General features: G+C 38.2%; 1 long non-coding RNA gene across 2 annotated transcripts in view; it reads right to left on the reverse strand.

The window, feature by feature from the left end:
• LOC105372926 (uncharacterized) overlaps positions 1-814 on the reverse strand; it is a 198874-nt gene extending 198060 nt beyond the window's left edge. For both annotated transcript variants that reach the window (XR_001738475.1, XR_001738474.1), the window contains exon 1: positions 642-814. This is a non-coding gene — a long non-coding RNA (uncharacterized LOC105372926). The remainder of the gene's footprint in view (positions 1-641) is intronic.
• Between the last annotated feature and the right edge of the window lie 18110 nt (positions 815-18924).

Here is an 18924-nt window from a genome sequence, read left to right on the forward strand (position 1 = left end):
TACATAATATGTCTTTTATTGTAGTAAAGTGTAGTAACATAAAATTTACGATATTACCATTTTAACCCTTTAACCATTTTTAGATGTACAATTCTGTGGCATTAAGCACATTCACATTGTTGCACAATCATCACCACCATCCATTTCACTTTTCATCTTCCCAAACCAAAACTGAAGGCCCTTTAAAAATTAGCTCTTCATTCCCTCTTTTCCCAGCCCCCAACAACCACCATGCTACTTTCTGTCTCTATGAATTTGACCATTCTAAGGACCTCATATAAATGGAATCATACAATATTTATCCCTTGTGTTTTTTAAACAAAATGCCTTCTCTTGACACCATATCTCCTTCCAATCGTGGCCCTATTTTTCTGATCTCCACCAGAGTAAAACTTTTAGAAAAAGCTGTCTGTACTTGGCTCTACTTTCTCCCTTCTCATCTTCTCTCCAAGTTACTTTAAAGGGACTTTCATCCCAAATATTGGTCAAATATTGACAAAGCCAATGATCAATGCTTTGTCCTTGTATTACCCAACCCAACCCACTCAGTAGCATTCGAAAGGTCTGACCACTGTCTCCTCCTAGAAACACTATCCTCTCCAGCCCTCCCTGACTGTAAACTTGCCTGGTTCTCCTCCTACCTCATGGCTGCTCTTCCTCCAGCTTTTTTGTTGGCTCCTCCCCCAGCTGCCAGATCTCCAAAGGTCAGAGTGCCCCAGGGCTCCGTCCTTGATTCTCTTCTCTTTTCCATGCACGCAGTGCCACTCAAAGCCTTGGTCTGCATACCAGTGTCAGTCCATTAACTATTTGTTACCAGACTGCAATGACAGAAATACAGAAACTGACTAAGCCTTTAGAAAGTTCTAATCGCAATTTGACAGTATATGTTTCTGTTGTTGTATCTAAGAATAAAAAATTAGGCTTGAATTTGAATACCTTTTTTAAATAGTTTATATTTCATTTTTATAATGATTTATACAATTGTATTTTACAAAGTATTGGTTTGCATCAGATTGGATTAGAAAAATAAAACTGGTCCTTCCCCACAGACAGTTTTGAGAAGCGCTGATCCACATTATTTCCTGGGTGATGTCATCTAGCCCAATAGTTTTTAATAATATTTCTATGCTGATCATTCTCATAATTTATGTCATCATCTCTGACCTCTTCTGTAAGCTCCAGACTTGGATATCCAACTGCCTACTTAAAATCTCCACTTGGATGTCAAGTGGGCATACAAACCTTAACATGAACAAAACAGAACTATTAAATAAACAACAAAAAAGAGTCAAACAATAAAAATAGAAGTTTATTCCTTGAAAAGTCTCATAAAATAATCTGCACTAAATCACAACAGGGGAAAAGAGAAGACAAAATAAGCAATATGAGAACAAAGGGGCTGGTAACTATACATCAGTAGAGATTTTAAAATAGGAGTACACTGTGAACAAGTTTACTAAAATAAATTTGGAAAATGAAACATACAAATGCCTAAAAAATATAAATTACCATAATTGACGCAAAAATAAAAAGAAATAGAAAACCTGAACATACCAATAGCCATTAGGGAAACTAAAAAGTCATTCAAAAATCTGCTCCTATCCCACACCAAAAGGGTATAAGGCCTAGACAATTTTACAAATGAATCTAACCAAACTCAAGCAACAGATATTTCATAAACTATAATTTATAATTGTCATGTCTTCCTGCTCAGTTGACATTTATTATTATATAATGTCAAAAACTATCACAAGAGATATAGAAAGACATTATTTCATAATAAAAGGGTCAATTCACCCAGGAAGATATGACAATTATAAATATATCCATCCCCAACATCACAGCACCTAAATATATAAAGCAAACATTGACAGAACTGAAAGAGAAATAGACACAAATGTAATAATAATAGGAAACTTAAACACCCCACCTTCAATAATGGATAGAGCATCCAGACAGAAAAACAATAAGGAAACAGCAAATTTGAAGAGCATTATAGATAAAAATGGACCTAACAGACACATGTAGAACAAATTTAAGAACACTGCAATCATACCAAGTATCTTCTTCAACCACAATGAATGAAACTAGAAACAACAGAAAAGGGAAGCTAGAAACTCCATAGATATGTGGAAATTAAGCAACACATTCTTGAATAACCAATGGGTCAAAAGAGAAATGAAAGGGAAATTAGAAAACACCTTGAAACAAATAGACATGAAAATAAAATGTACCAAAACTTACAGGAGGCAGCAAGAAACGCATTACCAAGAGCAAAGTTTATGGCAATAAACCCCTATGTTAACAAAGAAGAAAAGTCTCAAATTAACAAACCAACCTCAAAGAACTAGGAGAACAGACTAAGCCCAATTTCAGCAGAAGAAAGGGAAAAATAAAGATTAGAGTATAAATAAAATAGAAAACTTTTAAAAATCGGCAACACTTTTTTGAAAAAACATCAATAAAGTTGACAAACCTTTGGCTAGGCTAAGAGACAAAAAGAGAAGACTTAAATAAAAAATGGAAGAGCAGTCATTACAACTAATGCCACAGAATTAAAAAGAATAAGAGAATACTATGAGCAATTATACACCAACAAATTGGATAACTTACAAGAAATTGATAAATTCTTAGAAACACACACCCTAACAAGACTGAATAATGAAGAAATTGAAAATCTGAACAGACCTATAACCAGTAAGGAGATTGAATCAATAATCAAAAACCTCTCAATAAAGAAAAGTCCAAGACCAGATGGCTTCACTGGTAAATTTTACCAGACATTTAAAGAAAATTTAACATCAATTCTTCTCAATCTCTTCTAAAAAAAATTGAAGAGGGGAGAACACTTTCCAACTCTTTTGAAGCCAGTGTTACCCTAATGCCAAAGCCAGACAAAGATATTACAAAAAAAAAGAACCTACAGACCAATACTCCTGATAAACACAAATACAAAAATCCTCAACAAAATATTAGCAAAGGCCAGTTGTGGTGGCTCATGCCTGTAATCCCAGCACTTTGGGAGGCTGAAGCTGAAGGATTGCTTGAGGCCAGGAATTTGAAACCAGCCCTGGCAACATAGCAAGACCCTGTCTCCACAAAAAAAATTAAAACTTAGCAAGGCATGGTGGCATGTACCTATAGTCCCAGCTACTCAGGAGGCTGAGGCAGGAGGATCACTTGATCCCAGAAGTTTGAGGTAAGAGTGAGCTATGATCACACACTTACACTCCAGCCTGGGTGACAGGAAAGACCCTGTCTCAAACAAAACAAAACAAAACAAAACATTAGCAAACTGCATTAAATAGCACATTAAAAGGATCCTACACCATAACCAATTTAGATTTTTCCATGGAATGCAAAGTATTTCAACATACAAAAATTAGTGTAATATACCACATTAACAGAACGAGGGGCAAAAAACACACGATCATGTCAGTAGATGTAGAAAGAGCATTTGGCAAAATTCAACACCCTTTCATAACGAAAACTCTCAACAAACTAGGAATAGAAGGAGATTTCAACATAAAAAAATTACATATGAAAAGTCAGTTAACCTTATACTCAGTGGTGGAAAATTGAAAAGTTCTCCCCCTAAGATTAGGAGCAAGACAAGGATGCCCAGTCTAGCTACTTCTTTTCAACACAGTACTGGAAGTTCTAGCCAGAGAAATTGGACAGGAGAAAGAAATAAGTATCTAAATCAGAAAGAAAGAAGTAAAATTATCTCTCTTTGCTGATGACATGATCTTATACATAGAAAATTCTAAAGACTGTAGACACACACACACACACACACACACACACACACAAACAGAGAGAGAGAGAAACTGTTAGAACTAAGACAAATTCAGGGAGTAGTGGTTCTCCCAGCATGCAGCCGGAGATCTGAGAACGGACAGACTGCCTCCTCAAGTGGGTCCCTGACCCCCAAGTAGCCTAACTGGGAGGCACCCCCAAGTAGGGGCAGACTGACACCTCACACGGCTGGGTACTCCTCTGAGAAAAAACTTCCAGAGGAACGATCAGGCAGCAACATTTGCTGTTCACCAGTATCTGCTGTTCTGCAGCCTCCGCTGCTGATACCCAGGCAAACAGGGTTTGGAGTGGACCTCCCATAAACTCCAACAGATCTGCAGCTGAGGGTCCTGACTGTTAGAAGGAAAACTAACAAACAGAAAGGACATCCACACCAAAACCCCATCTGTACGTCACCATCATCAAAGAACAAAGGTAGATAAAACCACAAAGATGGGGGAAAAACAGAGCAGAAAAACTGGAAACTCTAATAATCAGAGCACCTGTCCTCCTCCAAAGGAATGCAGCTCCTCACCAGCAACGGAACAAAGCTGGACAGAGAATGACTTTGACGAGCTGAGAGAAGAAGGCTTCAGATGATCAAACTACTCTGAGCTAAAGGAGGAAGTTCAAACCCATGGCAAAGAAGTTAAAAACCTTGAAAAAAAATTAGACGAATGGCTAACTAGAATAACCAATGCAGAGAAGTCCTTAAAAGACCTGATGGAGCTGAAAACCAAGGCACAAGAACTACATGACAAATGCAAGAGCCTCAGTAGCCAATTCGATCAACTGGAAGAAAGGGTATCAGTGATGGAAGATCAAATGAATGAAATGAAGTGAGAAGAGAAGTTTAGAGAAAAAAGAATAAAAAGAAACGAACAAAGCCTCTAAGAAATATGGGACTATGTGAAGAGACCAAATCTACATCTGATTGGTGTACCTGAAAGTGACGGGGAGAATGGAACCAAGCTGGAAAACACCCTTCAGGATATTATCCAGGAGAACTTCCCCAATCTAGCAAGGCAGGCCAACATTCAAATCAGGAAATACAGAGAATGCCACAAAGATATTCCTCAAGAAGACCAACCCCAAGACACATAATTGTCAGATTCACCAAAGTTGAAATGAAGGAAAAAATGTTAAGGGCAGCCACAGAGAAAGGTTGGGTTACCCACAAAGGGAAGCCCATCAGACTAATACCTGATCTCTCAGCAGAAACTCCGCAAGCCAGAAGAGAGTGGGGGCCAATATTCAACATTCTTAAAAGAATTTTCAATCCAGAATTTCATATCCAGCCAAACTAATCTTCATAAGTGAAGGAGAAATAAAATCTTTTACAAACAAGCAAATGCTGAGAGATCTTGTCACCACCAGGCCTGCCCTAAAAGAGCTCCTGAAGGAAGCACTAAACATGGAAAGGAACAACCGGTACCAGCCACTGCAAAATCATGCCAAATTGTAAAGACCATCGAGGCTACGAAGAAACTGCATCAACTAATGAGCAAAATAACCAGCTAACATCATATTGACAGGATCAAATTCACACATAACAATATTAACCTTAAATGTAAATGGGCTAAATGCTCCAATTAAAAGACACAGACTGGCAAGTTGGATAAAGAGTCAAGTCCCATCAGTGTGCTGTATTCAGGAAACCCATCTCACGTGCAGAGACACACATAGGCTCAAAATAAAGGGATGGAGGAAGATCTACCAAGCAAATGGAAAATAAAAAAAGGCAGGGACTGCAAACCTAGTCTCTGATAAAACAGACTTTAAACCAACAAAGATCAAAAGAGACAAAGAAGGCCATTACATAATGGTAAAGGGATCAATTCAACAAGAAGAGCTAACTATCCTAAATATATATGCACCCAATACAGGAGCACCCAGATTCATAAAGCAAGTCCTTAGAGACCTACAAAGAGACTTAGACTCCCACACATTAATAATGGGAGACTTTAACACCCCACTGTCAACATTAGACAGACCAACGAGACAGAAAGTTAACAAGGATATCCAGGAATTGAACTCAGCTCTGCAGCAAGCGGACCTAATAGACATCTACAGGACTCCACCCCAAATCAACAGAATCTACATTCTTCTTAGCGCCACACCACACCTATTCCAAAACTGACCACATAGTTGGAAGTAAAGGAGTCCTCAGCAAATGTAAAAGAACAGAAATTATAACAAACTGACTCTCAGACCACAGTGCAATCAAACTAGAACTCAGGATTAAGAAACTCACTCAAACCACTCAACTACATGGAAACTGAACAACCTGCTCCTGAATGACTACTGGGTACATAATGAAATGAAGGCAGAAATAAAGATGTTCTTTGAAACCAATGAGAACAAAGACACGACATACCAGAATCTCTGGGACACATTCAAAGCAGTGTGTAGAGGGAAATGTATAGCACTAAATGCCCACAAGAGAAACCAGGAAAGATCCAAAATTGACACCCTAACATCACAATTAAAAGAACTAGAGAAGCTAGAGCAAACAGATTCAAAAGCTAGCAGAAGGCAAGAAATAACTAAGATCAGAGCAAAACTGAAGGAAATAGAGACACAAAATACCCTTCAAAAAATCAATGAATCCAGGAGCTGGTTTTCTGAAACGATCAACAAAATTGATAGACCGCTAGAAAGACTAATAAAGAAGAAAAGAGAAGAATCAAATAGATGCAATAAAAAATGATAAAGGGGATATCACCACCGATCCCACAGAAATACAAACTACCATCAGAGAATACTATAAACACGTCTACACAAGTAAACTAGAAAATCTAGAAGAAATGGATAAATTCCTTGACATATACACCCTCCCAAGACTAAAACAGGAAGAAGTTCAATCTCTGAATAGACCAATAACAGGCTCTGAAATTGAGGTAATAATTAATAGCCTACCAACCAAAAAAAGTCCAGGACCAGACAGATTCACCGCCGAATTCTACCACAGGGACAAGGAGGAGCTGGTACCATTCCTTCTGAAACTATCCCAATCAATAGAAAAAGAGGGAATCCTCCCTAACTCATTTTATGAGGCCAGCATCATATTGATACCAAAGCCTGGCGGAGACACAACCAAAAAAGAGAATTTTAGACCAATATCCTTGATGAACTTTGATGCAAAAATCCTCAATAAAATACTGGCAAACCGAATACAGCAGCACATCGAATACTTATCCACCATGATCAAGTGGGCTTCATCCCTGGGATACAAGGCTGGTTCAACATATGAAAATCAATAAATGTAATCCAGCATATAAACAGAACCAATGACAAAAACCTCATGATTATCTCAATAGATGCAGAAAAGGCCTTTGACAAAATTCAACAACCCTTCATGATAAAAACTCTCAATAAACTAGGTATTGATGGGACATATCTAAAAATAATAAGAGCTATCTATGACAAACCCACAGCCAATATCATACTGAATGGGCAAAAACTGGAAGCATTCCCTTTGAAAACTGGCACAAGACAGGGATGCCCTCTCTCACCACTCCTATTCAACATAGTTTGGAAGTTCTGGCCAGGGCAATCAGGCAGGAGAAGGAAATAAAGGGTATTCAATTACGAAAAGAGGAAGTCAAATGGTCCCTGTTTGCAGATGACATGATTGTATATCTAGAAAAACCCATCGTCTCAGCCCAAAATCTCCTTAAGCTGATAGGCAACTTCAGCAAAGTCTCAGGATACAAAATCAATGTGCAAAAATCACAAGCATTCTTATACACCAATAACAGACAAACAGAGAGCCAAATCATGAGTGAACTCCCATTCACAATTTCTTCAAAGAGAATAAGATACCAGGAATCCAACTTACAAGGGACATGAAGGACCTCTTCAAGGAGAACTACAAACCACTGCTTAATGAAGTAAAAGAGGATACAAACAAATGGAAGAACATTCCATGCTCATGGGTAGGAAGAATCAATATCATGAAAATGGCCATACTGCCCAAGGTAATTTATAGATTCAATGCTATCCCCATCAAGCTACCAATGACTTTCTTCACAGAATTGGAAAAAACTACTTTAAATTTCATATGGAACCAAAAAGAGCCCGCATTGCCAAGACAATCCTAAGCCAAAAGAACAAAGCTGGAGGCATCATGCTACCTGACTTCAAACTATACTACAAGGTACAGTAACCAAAACAGCATGGTACTGGTACCAAAACAGAGATATAGAACAATGGAACAGAACAGAGCCCTCAGAAATAATGCCACACATCTACAACCATCTGATCTTTGACAAACCTGACTAAAACAAGCAATGGGGAAAGGATTCCATATTAATAAATGGTGCTGGGAAAACTGGCTAGCCATATGTAGAAAGCTGAAACTGGATCCCTTCCTTACACCTTATACAAAAATTAATTCAAGATGGATTAAAGACTTAAATGTTAGACCTAAACCCATAAAAACCCTAGAGGAAAACCTAGGCAATACCATTCAGGACATGGGCATGGGCAAGGACTTCATGTCTAAAACACCAAAAGCAATGGCAACAAAAACCAAAATTGACAAATGGAATGTAATCAAACTAAAGAGCTTCTGCACAGCAGAAGAAACCACTATCAGAGTGAACAGGCAGCCTACAGAATGGGAGAAAATTTTTGCAATCTACTCATCGGACAAAGGGTTAATATCCAGAATCTACAAAGAACTCAAATTTACAAGAAAAAAACAAACAACCCCATCAAAAAGTGGGCGAAGGATATGAACAGACACTTCTCAAAAGAAGACATTTAGGCAGCCAAAACACACACGAAAAAATGCTCATCATCACTGGCCATCAGAGAAATGCAAATCACAACCACAATGAGGTACCATCTCACACCAGTTAGAATGGCGATCATTAAAAAGTCAGGAAACAACAGGTGCTGGAGAGGATGTGGAGAAATAGGAACATTTTTACACTGTTGGTGGGACTGTAAACTAGTTCAACCGTTGTGGAAGACAATGTGGCGATTCCTCAAGGATCTAGAACTAGAAATACCATTTGACCCAGCCATCCCATTACTGGGTATATACCCAAAGGATTATAAATCATGCTGCTATAAAGACACATGCACATATATGTTTATTGTGGCACTATTCACAATAGCAAAGACTGGGAACCAACCCAAATGTCCAACAATGATAGACTGGATTAAGAAAATGTGGCACATATACACTGTGGAATACTATGCACCCATAAAAAAGGATGAGTTCATGTCCTTTGCAGGGACATGAATGAAGCTGGAAACCATCATTCTGAGCAAACTATTGCAAGGACAAAAAACCAAACACTGCATGTTCTCACTCATAGGTGGGAACTGAACAATGAGAACACATGGACACAGGAAGGGGAACATCACACACCGGGGCCTGTTGTGGGGTTGGGGGAGTGGGGAGGGGTAGCATTAGGAGATATACCGAATGTTAAAAGACAAGTTAATGGGTGCAGCACAGCAACATGGCACATGTATACATATGTAACTAACCTGCATGTTGTGCACATGTACCCTAAAACTTAAAGTATAATAAAAAAAATTCTATGAGAAAAAAAAGAATTAAGACAAATTCAGTAAAGTTGCAAGATACAATATCAACATATAAAAGTCAGTTGCATTCTACACACTAATAATGAACTATGTAAAAAGGAAATTAAGAAAATAATCCTATTTGTAATAGCATCAAAAAGAGTAAAATAAGCTTACAAGCTTAACAAAGAAAGTGAAAGATTTGTACACTGAAAACTACAAAACAACGATAAAAGAAATAAAAGAAGACACAAATAAATGGAAAAACATGCCTAGTTCATGGACTGGAAACTTAAGATTGTTAAAATGGTCATACTATCCAAAGTGACCTACAGATTCAATGCAATCCCTATCAAAATGCCAGTGGCATTTTGAAATAGAAACAACAATCCTAACTCATATGGAACCACAAAGGACTCCAGATAGCCAAAACAATCTTGAAAAAGAGCAAAGCTGGAAGCATCGTGGTTTTTATTTCAAAAATATATTATAAAGCTACGGTAATTTAAAAAGTATGATAGTGGCATAAACACAGGAACATAGGCCAATGAAACAGAATACAGAGCCTAGAAATAAACACAGAGCCTAGAAATAAATCCATTCATTTGTGATCAATTGACCATGCCAAGAATACACAATGGGGAAAGAATAGTATCTTCAACAAACGGTTTCGGGGCCAGGCACAGTGGTTCACACCTGTATTCCCAGGACTTTGGGAGGCTGAGGCTGATGGATCACTTGAGCCCAAGAGTTCAAGACCAGCCTGGGCAACATGGCGAGACCCTGTCTCTACAAAAAATGCAAAAGTTAGCCAAATGTGGTGGCACACGCCTGTGATCCAAGCTACTCAGGAGGCTGAGATAGGAGGACTGGCTTGAGCCTGGGAAGTAAAGGCTGCACTGAGCCATGTTTGCACCACCGCACTTCAGTCTGGGTGATAGAGCAAGAGCCTGTCTCAAATAAATAAACGGTGTTGGGAAAACCAAATATCCACATGCAAAAGAATAAAATTGGAACCTTAATTTACACCATACACAAGAATCAATTCAAAGTAGATTAAAAAATTAAATGTAATATCTAAAAGAGTAAAACCCCTATAAGAAAATATAGGGGAAAACCTCATGGCAGTGGTCTTGGCAATAATTTCTTGGATGTGACATTAAAAGTACACACAACAAAAGCAAAAATAGACAAGATGAGTTACATCGAACTAAAAAGTTTCTGCACAGCAAAGGGGACATTAACAGAGTGAAATACAATCTACAGAATGGGAGAAAATATTTGCAAGCCATATATCTGATGAGGGGTTAATATTCAAAATATATAAGGAACTCCTTCAATTCTAGCAAAAAGAAAAAAAAACGCTCAATTTAAAAATGAACATTTCTCAAAAAAAGACATACAAATGGCCAATACTTATATGAAAGGATACGCAACATCACTAATCATCAGAGAAATTCAAATCACAGTAGGTATCACCTCACAGCCATTAGAATGGCTATTTAAAAGTAAATAAATAAATAACACGCATTGATGAGGGCATAGAGAAATTGGAACCCTTGCATTTTGTTGGTAGGAATATAAAATGATGCAGCTGCCATGGAAAATAGTATAGAGGTTTCTCAAAAAAATAAAAACACAACTACTATATGATTCAGCAATCACTTCTGGGTGTTTATCCAAAAGAACTGAAATCGAGATCTCAAAGAGATATTTGCACTCCCATGTTTATTGCAGCATTATTCAGAATGGTCAAGATGTGGAAACAACCTAAATGTAAATGGATGAATGAATGGGTTTTTTAAACGTGGTATAGACATACAAGGTCGTAATATTCACCCTTAAAAAGGAAAGAAATTCTGCCACATGCAACAACATGGATGAACCCTGAGGACATTATATATGCTAAGTGAAATATACCAGTCACAAAAGAACAAATACTTCACGATTCCACTAATATGAGGTATCTAAAAATAGCCAAACACATAGAAACAGAGAACAGAATAGCAGTTGTCAAGGACTGGGTGAGAGAGAAATAGAGTTGCTCTGCAACAGGTATAAAGTTTGTTATGCAAGATGATTGAGTTCTGGATATCTGTTGTACAGCATCATGCCTACAGTTATCTATACTGTATTGTACACTTAAATATTTGTTGAGAGGGTAGATGTCATGTTAAGTATTCTTACTACAATTTAAAAAATTAAAATGATTTCCACATAAGCAATAATAGTTGGGTGACGTGTATTTATACTAACAGATAAGAATTCTTAATCTAAATTGATATGGTAATTTAAATAATTTTTATTTCTTTCTTATTTCATAAGAATAAAAGGCAAATATACAAATATGCAAAACAAAAAAGAGTGAAAGCTGTTCATAGAATCAATAGAAGGGCTCAAGAAAGAGCCCTAGACTGGGCTTCCAAGAAAATCTACAACTGCAGCATAGAACCTTGCTACAAAGCGATCTCTGTCTCGGCCATGTTTTCAGAAAGCCAATCTGCCATCTCCCATTCATATTATGAAAATTCAATGCCATTTCTATCAAAACTCCACAGGATATCTTTGTGTATGAAAACCTATAAACAGATTCAAAAATTTATTTGATAGTATAAAGATTCAAGAATAGCCAAGTCAATTTTCTAAACAGATTACTAGCAAACACTTTCACGGACAACTGCAGTTCAGGAACATTTTGAAAGGGAATATCTAACTTCCAGTAGTAGGGAAAGTGTGAGAGAAGGAGCATGCCTTAAGATATAATTTAAATGTCTTAGAGGACCTTTGCTTCCGGCAAATGCAAACCAGGACATTCAGGCCAACTCTTCTGCTGAGGACAACTAGAAAAGTGGAAATTTAAATCTGCTTAGAGGCAATAGAGAACTATCAAGCAAATGCAGAATTACCAGTTTAGGAGATGGGGGATGAGAAGGTGCAGGAAAGTAAGCCCAATGTTTGGGATTGCTTGTCCCTAAGAACTCCTGGGAAGTTTTGTGTCACTTTGGAAATTCTTGCAGTTTTAGGGAGACAGGTATTGGAGTGAGAGTTTGCCAACAGGTGAACCTGATAAACATCCCTTGCATTAGATTAGAATCTTAACAGGATTCATTTAGAAGTAAGTGTAAACCAGATGTAAATAGATCCTTACAGAAGAGCAATTCAGCTAGAATCCTCTCAGTCTGTAACATTGGATTGAGATGATCCAGCATTGTTAGTGCCCCCTGGATAACTGGGAAAAGCAAAATGATATCCTTTCTGTGATAAAATAACATCAGTCTAGCCTCAAATTATTTATACAAAAAAATTTTGCCAAACAATGTGAAGCATACAACCAAAAATAAGCAGACAAACAAGAAGACAATGTGACATGAATAAAAACCAAGAAGGAAAAAACTAGAGTAAATAAATATCAACAAGGACTTCAGTTATTATAGTTTCAAAGACAGTCTTCAAAATAAATAAGTTCACAAGCTCAAGAAGATGAAAGCATGAAAACTTCAGCAGAGAACTGAGAAAAATATATATGCATGTACCTGAAGAAACAAATGAAAATTGAAAAACTAAAAAGTAAAATAATTAAAATTGAAAACTTGGTGCCTGAGTATAACAGCTTTTACATACACTTAAAAAGATTAGTAATGAGTTGGAAGATAAATCATAAGAAAATATTCAAAATAAAGCATGGAAAGATAAAGAGATGGGAAACAGGTGATAGGGTATATGAAAGGCACAGTGAGAAGATTTAACATATGAATATACCTAGAAGGGAAGAAGAAGGAGAATGGAAAAGAAGCAATACTTGAAGACATAATAGCTGATGTTGTCCAGGCTGAAGTCCTGAGCTCAAGCGATCCAAGCGATCCACCCACCTTGACCTCCCAAGGTGCTGGGATTATAGGCATGAGCCACTGCACCTGGCCTCCAATGCAATTTTATAAAGCTTTCCCAATTAGTGAAGTGCCAGATGTTACAGCTTCTTACTGTAATGACTTGTCGTATTTAATAAATTAGTCGTATCTACACATACAAGCAGAACCAGCAGAAACTTTTCTTGACTCGGGACCTGACTTAATTATTCTTTGAAAAGCTTTTTCTGACTAAGCTCACCATATAAATAATCTACATGCCATTTAGTCAGACTATCTGCAGCTTGGCCGTGTTCTCTGTCTTGGTTCTTAAGTTGTTACTGTTTTAAATTACAGATCCTTTGAGAACCTGATGAAAGCTATGAGTCCTCTCTGCAGAAAATATACACATGCGCATATGCATAAATCTGGACATATGCTTTCAAGGACCCCCTGAAAGACCATCTGTGGACCCCTTATGGAGCCCATGAACTCTCAGGTAAGAGTGTCTGTTCTAGTTTTCCTTCATGCATTTTGAGCATCTCTCCTCCCCACCCCACCCCCACCCCCACCAACATACATACACATATACACAGTGGACTAAAGATCCGCTGAAGGTTTCTTTTGCGTTTCATCTAACATCGGTGAGTACATATGATAGGCACTTAAAACTCTTGCTATAATGGAAAAACATAATGAGACAGTGTGCCCGCATTTTGAATTACCCTTTTTTCCCTGTAGATTTTCACTAGCTTGCCCCAAAATTAATGAGGTTTCATGTTGTGTTTACAAAACAAAACAAAAAATAAACAAACAAGGAGCCATCAAGGCTTAAACTGGAAAGCAGAATCTCCCAGACTCTGACTCCTGTAAGATTTTGGAGATAAGCTTTAGGGAAGAGATCAGGAAAGGCGCATGGAACTTGGAAGGGGAAAATGACCTGGCATCTGGTTAGAAGACATAGAGAATAACAACACTGCAAGTTATGGCCCTTCACAGTTTTTAAAAACACTTTCACCTACAGTATCTTACCTGATAACCCCCACCTTAACCTGGAAGGCAGGCAGGGGCAGATCTCACCCCTTCCATTTATTTATTAAAAAACTCAGGTCCAGAATGGTTTCATAAACACCCAAAGTCACCCAGCAGCCTTAAATGGAAGGGCACAAACTTGAGTGTAGAGCTTTGGACTCTAATTCTGCGTTCCCTACATCATGGAAGAAGTCAAGAAGAATGTGGAATTATTTAAAAAAAAAAAACTGGCACATACATTCATGGAGGAGGAGACGGGCTTATAAAAAAGCCCTTTCAACTAAGTTGCATGAAATGTTATTTTCAGTTATCGTATCAGGGCATCTGGCTATTTTCAAAATTCTTAACTAATCAACCCCTGTCTTTAAAATGCAATTGTCCATGTATTCGTCACAGAGGTTTAATCATTTGTGAAGAATGAAACGGCCATATCTTTATCTAACGCCATTGTAATCACTTTTGGGTAAACAGTCTGGAGCCATTTGTATAGGATAATAAGTTCAAAGTTGTAAAATCTGGAAATGTTTTACCACTAGAATGCTGCTATAGGCATTTCCCATTTTGAACCACAGCTGTCCTCACCCACAGTCACATCTTGCAGGTCACAGCCTCTTTATGATGACCCACATAGTGACCAAACCAATTCAGAAGCTATCCATGTGAACCCTAAAAGGTAACCCACCCCCGTTTCTTTTCTGATAGAGATACAACCCCCTTCCTATCAGTTCAGCTTCACACAAGAAATGTGCTCTCTTCCTGGCTATGCTTATTCGGTACTTTGTGCTTTTCCCCACAGTGGGGAAACTGGCATCAAAGAAATTCACCAGGCTGACCCTGTTTTGGTCACAAAACACGGGAATAGGAGAGAGAGATCTTTTCTTAAAGCACTTGGAGATCCTAAATGCCAAAGTACGAACTATGAGAGGCCAGCAAAATGGAAGATATTCATGTGTATTTTTGGTAGACACCTACTATATATTGACCACCATAACTTTTTCTAAACCTCTTAATAGTCACGGATCCTGATTTTTTAACAGATGAAAAGACTGAGATTCACAGAAAGAAGAGGGAATTCATATGCGTTAAAACTTACGATAGGGGCCGGGCACGGTGGCTCCGCCTATAATCCCAGCACTTTGGGAGGCAGAGGTAGGTGGGTCACTTGAGGTCAGGAGTTCAAGACCAGCCTGGCCAACATGGTAAAACCCATTCTCCACTAAAAATGCAAAAATTAGCCTGGCATAGTGGCATATGCCTGTAATCCTAGCTACTCCGAAGGCTGAGGCAGGAGAACTGCTTGAACCCACAAGGCAGAGGTTGCAGTGAGCCAAGATTGTGCCACTGCACTCCACTTGGGTGACAGAGTAAGTGAGATTCCATCTCAAAAAAAAAAAACAAAACCATCCAGTACTTTGGGAGGCTGAGGCAGGAGCCTCACTTGAGTTCTGGAGTTCGAGACCAGCCTAGCCAAAATGGTGAAACCCCATCTCTACTCAAAATACAAAAATTAACCAGGTGCAGTGGCACGTGCCTGTAGCCCCAGCTACTCAGTAGGCTGAGACAGAGAATTGCTAAAACCTGGGAGGCAGAGGTTGCAGTGAGCCGAGATTGCACTAATGCACTCCAGCCTGGGTGACAGAGCAAGATTCCTTTTCAAAAAAAAAAAAAAAAACAACTTGGGATGGGCATTTTAATAGAGGTTAAGTGATGTGTCTAGAAACACATAATTGACCAGTTAACAGATCTAGCATTTAAGGTTTGTCTAAGTTCAAAGCCCATGTGCTTTCCATTACATAAGTTATTTCTAAATTTCAATCATTCAAATACTATCTTCATTATTTGTTCCAAAATCATGTACCACATACAGGATTTTTTAAGAGGGATCATGGTTTAGTGGGTAGAACGTAGTTCTGAAGTCACCCCTGCTAAGTTCCAGTCCCAGTGCTGCCTCTTACTAGCTTTGTGACCTTGGCCAACTGACTTGACCTATGCCTGTTTCCTTATGTTTAAAATGGGGGTAAACAGTAGTACCTACCTCAGGGTTGTTTTGAGGATTAAATGAATTAATATATGTAATGCATGCACTGTAGTAAGTGTTCAATCCATTAGCATTATTTCAGAATTTCTTTTAAATTAGGCTTTTGCTATGTCAGTAAATGTATTAAAGGGGGAGGTTTTTATAGCACAACTATGAAATTACAAGTTTGATGTGACAGCTATATTTCCATAAACATTAAAATAAGTATGTAATATTCAAAGACAAGATATTCAGTCAGGTATCACCTAAAACTCATCTCTCATACACAGGTTCTGTTTTGAGAATATGACCCCACACTAGGCTGTTTTCTACCAGTAGAAAGAATATACAATGTTGGATATTTAAAGCTTGAAGGTAATCCATAGAAAGTAGTTACAAGCTTACTAGATTTATGCAAAATGAGAAAAAGGAAAGAAAACCAAAGAGGAGAAATGGAATACAATGGAACAGATGCCAAAACCATTTAGCAAAGGAAAGAAAAACCAGTTTGGGCAAGGTTCCTGTTTCCATGGACTCAACTATCTCGTGGGAAGAGCAGGTCCTGAAAGAACACAAGTAGCCTTCAAAACAGACCTTAGGCCTATCTCCTGACATTGGGGGCACAAAGAGGTCCTGTGTGATGGAACTAAAATGGGGATACAAGTCCAGAAAGAATCAATGCAAGAACACAGGCAAAGAATGTAAGAGAAAAAAATCTTTAGACAAACAAACAAATCAGCAGGAAGCTAAAGGGAAATACAGTTAGCCAAGAATAAAATCAAAACACTCATCATGTGCCACAGCTGTACAAACAGAGAAGGATAACACAGCAGAAGAGCAAGAAACCCTCAAGACTCTCAAGAATAAGGCCAGGAAACTCACAGCATGAACCATGGAATCCTAGGGTGGACGTGCTGGAAAGGAGATCATTCAGCCCACTTTCCTTATTTGACAGGGAGAAAAGAAGGCCCAGGCTGAAAAGATATGCCCAAGACTCAGAAACCAGGGGTTCTTTCTCTAAAGTCAGATTCCACATCCAAAATGTGACAGCAAAATAGAAATTCATTGTTTCATCTGAGGAAAAAGGAGAAGTCGCCTAAATGGGCGAGAGAAACTCAAGACCTGATTCTCAAAGAGACAATCATTTAATCTTCTTTTTAAGTTTTTACTTCTCAAAAAAAAAAATGGGATTTACAATAAACTTGATTGAAAACAGTTTACACAAAAGTTGAAAGGATGGAATTAAAATAAGAAGGAAGGAAGGGAGGTGGGAAGGACGGAGAGGGGAGGGAGGGAGAAAGGGAGGAGATGACATAGGACCACATGGTAAAAGATGTATTAAGTAGGCAAAATAAATCCAGGGCTTGTGGCACTTGTTAAGGACTTAAAAAATTAAGAAAATACTTGAGGCTTCCTAATATAATGCAAATATTCTGTTATTTCCCCCAAGCCTGATTTGCAGTAAAATTTTGCATAATAGTTTTAATCTATTTAAGTCCATTTTTCCACCTGTAAAGTGGATGGAACTCTGCCCACCACCTTGCATGAGAGTTTTAGTATGAGATGACAATGTATACTGTTTAGCCCCAAGTATTAATGAGGCTATAAAAACTCTTGAACATAGATTTTTCCCTGACTTTCACAAAATATCTTTGTCTCCTTCAATATAAAACACAGAGAAATTATTTTAGATAGATAAAACAGCCTATAACATGGATATATAACATGGATATCAATTTAAAATATTGTGATTCTTGAACTATGACTTGGGCCTGTAATCCCAGCACTTTGGGAGGCCGAGGTGGGTGGATCACTTAAGGTCAGGCATTTGAGACCAGCCTGGGCAACATGGTAAAAACCCGTCTTACTAAAAATACAAAAATTAGCCAGGCATGGTGGCGTGCACCTGAATTCCCAGCTACTTGGGAAGCTGAGGCAGGAGGCGAAAGTTGCAGTGAGCTGAAGTCTCGCCACTGCACTACAGCCTGGGCGACAGAGCAAGACTCTGCCTCAAAAAAAGAAAAGAAAAAAGAAATACGACTCGGGAATCCGTAAGAATTAAAGACAAGGCTGGAACAATATACACTCCCCATAGGGACTATCAATTGGTAATACAATTCCATGAACAGACTCATGTTTGCCAATGAGGAAACAAGAAAATTACAATACTATGAATCAGTTAGGAATGCTTCTAGCTTCAAGTAACAGAAGACTTTCTAACAATGTATTTAAAAGAGTACAAGTTTACTCTTCTCCTATGAAAAGAAGCCTAGAGATCAGCAGCTGCTGACTGTGGTTACACAGCCCAGCAACATCACAAACTGCATCCCTGTGATCAATTTCTTTTTTTTTTTTTTGTCTTTTCCCTTCTTTTGGTCACAAGATGGTTATCATAGCTCTGTGCATGTAATCTGCATTCAAGTGAAAAAGAAGAGAGAAAGGGAAATAAGAGTTATATCTCTTCTTTTTGTGAAGAAAAAAAATGAAGGCCTTCCCAGCACTCTCTCTTTCCCAAACCTAAAAACTCCTGCATTCTTGCCATCAGCCAAAACTGCCATATGGGAATCCCGAACTGCACGTGAAGCTGGGACAGTAAGCAGGTGGCATTTCCAGCCTTTACAGTGGAGGCAGGCAGGAGAAAAGGGAATTGAGAATGGGGATCTAAGTAGCCCAACAACAAATTTTGTT

The sequence above is a fragment of the Homo sapiens genome, chromosome 1 (assembly GCF_000001405.40).
Source record: "Homo sapiens chromosome 1, GRCh38.p14 Primary Assembly".
In the NCBI taxonomy this organism is placed as follows: Eukaryota; Metazoa; Chordata; class Mammalia; order Primates; family Hominidae; genus Homo; species Homo sapiens.